At 35.2% G+C, this 10,886-nt stretch overlaps 1 annotated feature.

Annotated features, from left to right (window-relative positions):
- Window positions 4,659–4,859: a silencer, noted in NCBI's record as "peak5214 fragment used in MPRA reporter construct". NCBI's record gives its function as "represses an SCP1 promoter by STARR-seq MPRAs in K562 erythroleukemia cells {active_cell/tissue: K562}" and the evidence as "EXISTENCE:reporter gene assay evidence [ECO:0000049][PMID:32103011]".

Below are 10,886 nucleotides of genomic sequence, written 5' to 3' on the forward strand. Positions count from 1 at the left end.
CTTTGCAAAAATCTAGAAATATTAGATTTACCCCATTTTATATATAAGGTAGCTGCTATTTTAAGAAGTCATGTAACTTTATCAAGGTGGCATAGGTAATAATAAGTTAAAGCAAAATCTAAACCAAGCAGACTAACCCAAGAACATGCGGTCACTGTGAATTATTGCTCTAAGATATTCCTGGAGTAATGGTATTTTACCTGTGTTATGTGTAGCCACTTTTAATGTTTTTAAGCAAGTATAAAAGATTAAATAAGAAATATTGATCAAGGACATATAGGTTCACACAGTGGCAATAGACATTCAGGTTTAGTGCAATAAAAATGTCCAATGAGGGCATTGTTAACATCTAAACTGGATTAATGGGCTTTTTCTTAATTTCCCCCCAAAGTAGCGCCACTTAATATAAACACATGTGCAATGTATAGTGTTTTCTGTGGCTAAAATGATGAGAAATTAACAAACTTTATATACACACACACATAAAAAAATTATTCTTGGGTCTACAGGTATTCTGCATAGATATTTTTTCTTGTAAAGCTAAATTATTTAACATTCAAATTTACCATTATAGAGCCTAGAGAACTTTTGTTATTCCATCATTTTTTAGCAAAATAAAAGTTATACTCCTAAAAGTCATATACGTAAACTTTTGAATACACCAAATGAGTACTACCTAAATGATTTCCAGGAGGAATAATAAATAAGGAATGTTGCAAAGGCATTTTAGCATATTTCTTAGCTAGTCAATAGTGGCATTGTTTTAAGACAATGGTTGATTACACTGCACATATAAACTTTGTCAAGTTGTTCATTATTTTCAAAGGCATTTATAATATAAAGTTTTTTTCACCAACAATAACCATATTTTAATAACAAAAAATACTCATCTCAAAGAATCTTATGATCTCTTAAAACACAACCAAGCAAAGAAAATAACATAAAACTGAAAGATATGTGAATTATTATACTATCATAATCTGTTATTTGTATTTTGACTGTGATAGGTACAAAAAAAGGACCAGAATATCCAACAAATACAATATAAATGGTCTTTATACATTTAAGAAGCATTGAAGTAATACCCTTAAGTAACGAGAAAAAGCTAGGGATTTTAATTTTAGTAATGAAAATTGATGAGAATTAATCTGATGCAAGGGTTGTAATCTTTACACACACATAAAATATTCTCTCTTGTATACTAGGAAAGAAGAAAAGTAAGACATTAATTTAAATTCCATACCACAAGACTCTACTAAAATACTAACTCAACAACAATCCTGAATATCAAGAACTTCTGACTTATTTCTATTAGTAAGACTCTCCTTACTAATAGATTTTCTGGGTGGAATTGTTTGGATAATTAAGATCATTTTGCTTAGCAAATATCTCATTATAAATTACTATTCTTAATGTCCTAGGTAGCAGTATATTTAATTGTCCATTTGTAATGATTTTTGAAATAGAAATACACCAGGAGAGAACCCCAGTACCTTGGGTTTACACTAAGGAAGAAACATTTCTACATTCTATTTAAATTAGGGTAATTTTTAATATTGCTTAGATATCTAGGCATGAGGTAAAGAGATGGGAAAATAAAATAAAATGTTCTGTAAAAACAATTTCAAAAAAACATACAGCAGACTATCAAAGATGATCTTCACCCATCAATCTTTACATACAGAAGCCAATGGCCATTATCTCATCCCCAATAAGATATATTCATTTGCAGACTCTTTTAGGCATATTAGAATGGTTTGTGCCTCCATGCAAAGCACAATCTCTATTAAGAAGAAGGAAGGTGAAGAGAGGTTTTGCAAAGAATATCTTTCCAAATTAAATAAATCATGTCTGTATTAAACATCTTATGCCAAATTTAGGATAAATTGATGCATAAAACTAATTATGGCCACCATATGGAAGGACAAAATTCACATACATTGGAAAATTTAGGTATAGATGCAGATCTTTAAAGGTATATATATAGTATTAGTTGCATGTGCATTGTTGTCTTTTTACATAGATAGCACTATGTGTCAGGAAGTGTTTCCTTTCGATGGCATAGAGTCATTTCTCTCTAGTGACAGCACTAGAAAAGCAGCAAAAGGGGCAGCTAGTCAGGGAAATCCCTGCCACCAGTCAATTGGCAATGGAGTCCTGTTCACACACTCCACAGAGAAAGATAAATTGATTGCTTGGATGAAATGGACAGTGAAAGTCAAAGACATTTTTGAAAATGTGCAAGGTTTGTCCTCCAAGAATGGAAAAGACTTGTCTGCAGAATTTAATTTGTCTATAAACTTCAGAGTTATTTGAACTAAAATTGCAAAATCTTTCAAGATAGTCCTAGTTATAACTGTTTCTTTCAAAAACTCTGCATTAGAATAATATGGTGTGGTACAGAGAAACATACTTACAGGATAGTGAGGAACTATAGACCTGGAAAGTCAAATCTGATATACCCTTTCACAAATATGAAGGAACACATTCAAACAGTAATATAAGGTAAAATTTTCCTCAATAAATTTGTTTTCTGAAAGTATCAATGGTGAGATTTAAGGGACTAATTTATTTATACTTCGAGAATGAAAACAGAATATTAGTAACAAGTAAGAAGAAAAGAAAACATGTATAAAATGCAGGCTTTTTTTCTTCCCCTTCCCAAATATCATCTTCCCCCAAAATTCAGTCCATTAAGGAAGTTTTTGTTAATGTTTTGTTTCATTGTGTGTAGGATGATGTCCAGATTAGGAAATAATTTCAATATCTAAATCAAATATTTATTTTCCATTACTTCTTAAAAAGTATATTTTAAAAGTAAAATTTAGAGAACTATAAGTGTCAAGATTGTTATGCTACTGTATCTTACCAAATAAATAGCTGTTTAAAAATTTATACAATTTTAGACATTTTTATCTCACATGCTATTTTAGAAATTCCCCAGGAAACATTTTATGTTCAGGAATGATTAAGACATTATGGAGATTATATATACACATATATATACATTATATATACACATATATATACATATATTATATATATATACATATGTACATATATTATATATACATATATATTATATATACATATATACATACATACATATATTTACATATATATTATATATATATGTATATATACATAGATACACATATATATACGTGTATATATACATATATACGTGTATATATACATATATACGTATAAATGTACGTGTATATATATGTATAATATATATACACATACATATATATAAAAATTAATTCAACTGTGAATATTTATATATGAAACTTGAATATATATTTTTCTGCAATATGATTTGGGTCATGTTGTCTGTGATTTTTAACTACTATTTTTCCCAGCTTCATAATTGCTTAATTTTGATGATATATTCCAGTGTTTAGGTTGTTTGTTGAAAATACTGATGTTTAAGAAGGGAAGTATTTTAAGTCTGATATGTAACAATTTTTAATTATTAATACATATTAGATATTATTTTTAGTGACCGGTGTCACAAACATTAATAAAATACAATTTTATTTCTCAAATAGCTTATGATTAAACAGAGAAAGTTGCATAAATTAAGTATATTTTGTTATAAGGTCAAAATAAGATTGTATAAAAATTCTACAGAAATTTACTAATCAGATTTATATTATTCAATCTGTTATGTGTGAAATACAGTATACAATTAATAATGCATACTATATAATACATAATACAGAACAAAAAACTAATACATAATTTCTTAAATATGATATGTGCATTGATTTATCTATAATCTATGTAAACACATCAAATTTAGTGGATTTTCTAGAGGGAATATATAAGTTTAATATTATAAATGAAGACCAAACATGAATTTTGACCCAATAGCAATGGGGTCATGGCTACAGCAATGTCTTGAAATTTCTCTAAATTCTAGCATGAATACCAGACTGACCAAAAAAAAAAATAGAACAACAAATAATTTATGAACAAACAACATACTCCCTGAAACCACATAGGAGTTTCTTGAATGCTTGTGGAACTCCTGAGGGTGAGTGGCATGGCCAGTGCCCTTCACGGCTTTAAATCCATGCTGGACTAGCTATTGTCCAAGGGTAGGTGACAAGAAAAAGGGAAACAGTGAAGAAGCAGAGAGGTTATGGAATTCAAGAGTAACAAATAAAAACTTGCTCTCAAAAGGATGTAGAACAACAGTGTGTGAACTAAGTACAATACTATAAGAAAATGTGCAGGCTCCAGAACTTTGTAAGAGAAGACTAAAGGAAACACAGTAGGACAATGAGAAGATCAAACCATCTGAGCCTAAATTCCAAGGCATCAGTGAAAGTAGCATAATACAGTTTGTCATAAAGACAAAGACCTACCATAGAGGAAAACATTTGACAATACAATTCAAGCTGAGAAGATGGTAACACTGGGAATCCTATGAAAGATTGTCGAAGTGCTAGGAGTAAATAAATCCAGAATAAGCAGGTCTCAGAAAACAATATCAAAAAAATATATATAACATTGAAAGTGAGTCATCACTTTGGAAGGCAAGGCCTGTAGCATGCAGGACAATACAGAGTTAGAAAGGTTGAGTCTTCCTGCATCAGACTTATGTCATTCACGCACACACACACACACACACACACACACACACACACACACACACACACACTATTGGCTCACATAGTTATTGAGGCTGACAAGCCCCAAGATTTGCTGTCAGCAAGCTGGAGACCTAAGAAAGCTAATGGTGTAGTCCCAGTACAAGTCTGAAAAGAATGCACATGCCATATCAATGTCCACACCAGGAACCTGGAGTTGTTATCTGCTCTAACAAAGTCTGAAGGTTAGGAATCAGGAAAGTCAATGGTGTAATTTCCAGTGTAGGCCAGGCACAGTGGCCCATGCATGGTGGTGCGTGCGTGTAGTCCCAGCAACTCAGGAGACCGAGGCTGCAAGTGAACCATGGTTATAACAATGCACTACAGCCCGGGCAAAAGAGCAAGATTCTGTCTCAAAAAAATAAAAACTAAAAAAAAAAAAAAAAAAAAAAAAAGTTCCCGTCCAAAAATCAGCAGTTTAGAGATTCAAGAAGAGTGGATGTTTCAGTTCTTCTGAAGTCAGGAAAAGAATGATGTTCCAGGCCGGGCGCGGTGGCTCACGCCTGTAATCCCAGCACTTTGGGAGGCCAAGGCAGGTGGATCACGAGGTCAGGAGATCGAGACCATCCTGGTTAACAAGGTGAAACCCCGTCTCTACTAAAAATACAAAAAATTAGCCGGGCGCGGTGGCGGGCGCCTGTAGTCCCAGCTACTCGGGAGGCTGAGGCAGGAGAATGGCGTGAACCCGGGAAGCGGAGCTTGCAGTGAGCCGAGATTGCGCCACTGCAGTTCGCAGTCCGGCCTGGGCGACAGAGCGAGACTCCGTCTCAAAAAAAAAAAAAAAAAAAAAAAAAAAAAAAAAGAATGATGTTCCAGCTCAAGCAGTCAGACAGGAAGAGAGTTCTCTCTCTCTCTTTTTTTTTTTTTTGTTCTATTCAGGCTCTCAATTAAAGGAATTGAGGTCCACCCCCATTAGCGAGGGCAGTGTGCTTTACTCAGTCTACAGAATTCAATGTTAATGTCATCTAGAAGCATCCTCACAGATACATGCAGAATCATGGTTGGTCAAATGCCAGGGTACTCTATGACCCAGTCAAGTTGACACATAAATTTAACCATCACATCCACTATGAAATCCATTCCTATGACACCGCAATAATGTAGAGTATAGCAACTGTGGTGATGCCTCATTTGTGCCTACAACAGGCCATACTGATGCTCTGTCAGTCTGGTCACCTCTGGAAGGTAAGTGGGATTCCATGCTATTGATCTCCATCCCTGCTACCGGGTCATTTTGTTCTCTAAATCACATGTGTCTTATACTTTCAGGATGCTAGCCATTTGAAGAGATCAACATGTTATCCTCAATGAAATGGATTCATGTACTGCTCTGTGCAATATATTGATAGTTCACATCCTTTTGGCTTACATTATGACAGAGGAGAGAGGAGTTAACATAGCCTGAGGTCAAATTTTACAAAGGCTTATTGTATATTTTAATGACATAAAGTTCTTTGTGATACATTTCTCTCATTGAAACAGAAGATAATGCACATGCCATATTAATGCCCACACGAGGAAACTGGAGTTGTTATCTGCTCTAACAAAGTTGCCATCTCTGTCATGGCAGTTCTAATCAGGGCAACTAACTATTGGATTGACCTTGTAATGACATATAATCATCTTTCAAGATCCATCTGGTTTCTGCAAAGGAAACAGTAGATAATCTAAATGAAGGTGAGATGAGGACCACCATCCCTACATCTCTTACAGACATAAGGCTGGCATAAATCTGCTAATCCCTGCCATACACACAGGACTGATTTTTTTCAGTAATTTGGTCATGGAAGGAGAAATTTCAGGGGCTTTCACTTAGCTTTCCCTATCATATTAGTTCTTTTCTACCAAGAGCCCAATTTTGAGGTTGTGCTAACTTTCAAGTATGTCAATGACAATTAAATACTCAGGGTCTAGGGTTCATCAATATGGTCCATATAAGCTGGTTTTCACCTGGCTCCCATATGTTCCCAACAAATAAGAAAGCTACGGTAATGTCTCAAAGTATCCATGTTTTAATGTCTATTAGACCCTACACCCTGTATTAGAAAAATGTGAGTAGCTCCCATTTCCCAATGTCCAATTAACTGACTGTATGGTCTTACTTCCCTTTGGTAAATGGTGAAGAAATAATTTCTATGTATACGTGCTATGGTCCTGGAGAATAATTGCACTTCAGAAAGAAGTCAACTGTGTTTAATGGGTGAGGTCTGCTCAATGGCTCAGGTCTGAAAACTATCCAAGGTAAAAGGAAATTTTTCTTAAGATGGCCTCCCTCAGATTCCCTGTTACCAAACTGATATCGTTTAGTTCTGTGTCCCCACCCAAATCTCATCTTGTAGCTTCCATAATTCCCACATGGTGTGGGAGGGACCTGGTGGGAGATGGTTTAATCATGGGGGTGGGTCTTTCCCATGCTGTTCTTGTGATAGTGAATAAGTCTCATGAGATCTGATGGTTTTAAAAATGGGAGTTTCCCTCCACAAGCTCTCTCTGTCTCGTTGCCTGCCACCATCCATGTAAGATATGACTTGTTCCTCCTCGCCTTTCACCTTCCATCATGATTGTGAGGCCTCTCAAGCCATGTGGAGCTGTAAGTCCAATAAACCTCTTTCTTTTGTAAGTTGCTCTTTCTTTCGTAAGTTGCTCTTTCTTTCGTAAGTTGTTGTTCTTTTGTAAGTTACCCTGAGACATGCCAGTCTCAGGTATGTCTTTATCAGCTGCATGAAAAGGACTAATAGACAAACCTTGGCTTCTTCCACTGGTTTAAGCTGAATAGTGTATTTGTCTTCCACCAATCTATTTTGTCCCCAGGGAGGTCACATTCTGTTAAGTCATTATAAGTCCCCAAGTATTTGGTTCCTGGGGCTGCTAATTCAACTTTGCTTGCCATTACATATCTGTGGTTAAACACAACCTGGGTACTATCTGTTAAGTGCCACCGCCTAGACTCTCTTATTTCAAAGTCCATTCATAACTCATTGTTTTCAGCAAGACAAATTTTCTGACAGTCTTTCCTACCTCCATCCTTGAACTGCAAGGTAGAGCCACTGCTGAACTTTTTAGTGATGCTGCTACGTTTCTCACTGGGGCATTCTTGTGGCCCTGATAAATCGTGTGTCTTCTCAGCCTTCCCAAATAACATTATCATCTTGCTCATCTTCAGGCTCTACATATTTTATCCATGCTAGCAAATCCACTACCCTGAACTTTTTATTCTCTTTATCCATCATCAGAAACGGCAATTCTAAGCATTTCAATTTTGCTCAGCTTGGCCATTGTGTATACCATGCCACTGAGAGCCAACTTATTAGGTAGTTTGCAGGCTCTCCTGAGGTTCTTTCCAGCTTGAGAAATCCTTTATCTCCAGAGAGTATTCTCAGCTAAATAAACTCTTTCTTTTCAAACTTTATATTTCAGCCCTTTCGTGAAGAATCTTCTAATCTTGTGCCACTCACACTTCCCAGGCTGCTGGCAATACTTGTCAGCTAAGCTTGTAGTCTTTAAATTACAGTTCTTTCTTTATCAAGCCCAGTGCATCTTCAGCTGGTTAATTTTCTGACTTAAACCTAGGTAAAAGCCAGGTGGTCCAAAGAAGATGTGAAGGCAGATTTTGAGTATATTGCCTTTCAGGATTATGGAGCTGATCACTCTTAATAGGGAGAAATGAGATATATCTGCAAGCTTAGATGTTTCAGAAGAGACAGAGCAATCAATCCTCCAAGGACAGTCACCTGCATACCTAAATCCTGTTGCAGAATCTCACATTTTCCCAATGAAGCTCTCTCTTTGGCATAACAAATCTGTCTTCCTTGAGGGCTTAACCTCCTCTGAAGTTAATCACACAGTCCAATAAATATTGCGTTTCATGCTTGGCTTTCTATGCACTCCTGCTGCAAGACATGAGGGCTTTTTTTGTCACCATACCAAGGAGTACCTCATCCCTTTAGTTTTCATATCTCGTTATAAAATGATCTTTATTTTTCTCATTATTCTATTATCTTTCTGTAAAAAAAGCCAGCACATAATGGTGTATCAGGGACTGGGATTACAGAAACCAAAGAAAGTTGTAATGATCTCCTTATTTCTGCATAAATTTATGTCCAAATTAATAACAGTGTATTCTCACTTTCAAAGCTGATTATTTCACTCTCTTCCCCACATCTCTTCAAGATAAACGCTGTGTGTGTGTGTGTGTGTGTGTGTGTGTGTGTGTGTATGTAGTAAGTACAAAGCTCTCTATTATCTGAGGTCAAATTTTATACAAGTTTATTATATAATTTAAGTAAACGAAATAAATAAATGTTGTATATTTTAAGTACATAAATGTTAAACTCATTGCTGCTTCTCTGTTTTGTGGTTAGATAACATTTTGTTATGGGAATTCTCAAAAATATATATAAAAATAGCAGAGATTAACATCAGGTTCATCCATGATGAACATATATAATATAGCAGACATCAGCATCCAGGTTCATCCATTGTTGCCACAAATGACAGAATTTCATTGTTTTATGGCTAAAGAGTGTTCCATCGTATATATGTATGGGGAAAGCTAAGTGTAAGCCCCTGAAATTTCCCCTTCCATGACCAAATTACTGAAAAAATTGGTCCTGTGTGTATGGCAGAGATTAGCAGATTTATGCCAGCCTTATGTCTGTAAAAGATGTATGGATGGTGGTCCTCATCTCACCTTCATTTAGGTTATCTAGTGTTTTCTTTGCAGAAACCAGATGGATCTTGAAAGATGATTATATATCATTACAAGCTGAATTCAGTAGTTAGTTTCCCTTATTACAACTGCCATGACAGAGATGGTAACTTTGTTAGAGCAGATAACAGCTCCAGGTTCCTGATGTGGACATTGATATGGCATGTGCATTCTTTTCTATGTCAATGAGAGAAATATATTACAAAGAATTTTATTTCATTAAAATATACAATAAACCTTTATAAAATTTGACCTCAGACTATGTCAAATCCTCTGTCATAATGTAAGCCAAAGGGATGTGACCTATCTATATATTGCAGAGTAGAACATGAATCCATTTCATTGAGGATAACATGTTGATCTCTTCAAATGGCTAGCACCCTGAAAGTATAAGACACATGTGATTTAGGGAACAGAATGACCCGGTAGCACAGATGGAGACCAACAGCATGGATTCGCACTTATCTTCCAGAGGTGACAGACTGACAGAGCATCAGTATGGCCTGTTGTAGGCACAAATGAGGCATCACCACAGTTGCTATACTCTACAGTATTACGATGTCATAGGAATGTATTTCATAGTGGATGCGATGGTTAAATTTATGTGTCAACTTGGCTGGGTCATAGAGTACCCTGGCATTTGACCAACCATGATTCTGCATGTATCTGTGAGGTTGCTTCTAGATGACATTAACACTGAATTCTGTAGACTGAGTAAATCACACTGCCCTCGCTAATGGGGGTGGACCTCAATTCCCTTAATTGAGAGGCTGAATAGACTATTTAATTTCTTTATTTATCCATTGGGTATTTAGGAGCATGTTGTTTAATTTCCATGTTTCTCCTGTTATTGATTTCTCGTTTCATACCATTATGGTCAGAACATTATAATCAGAAAAGAAACTTGATGTAAGTTCAACCTTTTTAAATTTTGTACGATTTCATTTGTGGCCTAAAATATAATCTGTCCTGGAGAATGTTTCATGTGCAGATGAAAGGAATGTGTATTTTTCTGCTCTTGGATGGAATATTCTGTAGTTGTCTCTTAGGTTACTTTGATTTAGTCTGTAGTTTAAATCTAATGTTTTCTTATTGGTTTTCTGTCTGAATGACCTGTCCATTACAGATAGCGGGATGTTGCAGTCTCCTACTATTATTGTATTGCACTTTATCTCTACCTTCAGATCTATTAATACTTGATGTATATATTTAGGTATTCCAATGTTGGGTGCACAAATATTTACAATTGTTATATTGTCTTGCTGAAACCCCTTTATCATTATATAAGGAACTTCTTTGTCTCCTTTCCAAATTAAATGTGTCTGCACAGCTTTGTCTCTTTTTATAAACTAAAAAGCTTCTGAACAGCAAAAAATATGATCAACAGTGTAAAGGGACATCCTACAGAATGAGATAACACACTTGAAAACCATACATCTGATAAGGGGCTAATATCCAAAACATATAAAGAACACAAACAACTCAGTATCAAGAAAAGAAATAAGCCATTAAAAAAG

The sequence above is a fragment of the Homo sapiens genome, chromosome 5 (assembly GCF_000001405.40).
Source record: "Homo sapiens chromosome 5, GRCh38.p14 Primary Assembly".
NCBI lineage: Eukaryota > Metazoa > Chordata > Mammalia > Primates > Hominidae > Homo > Homo sapiens.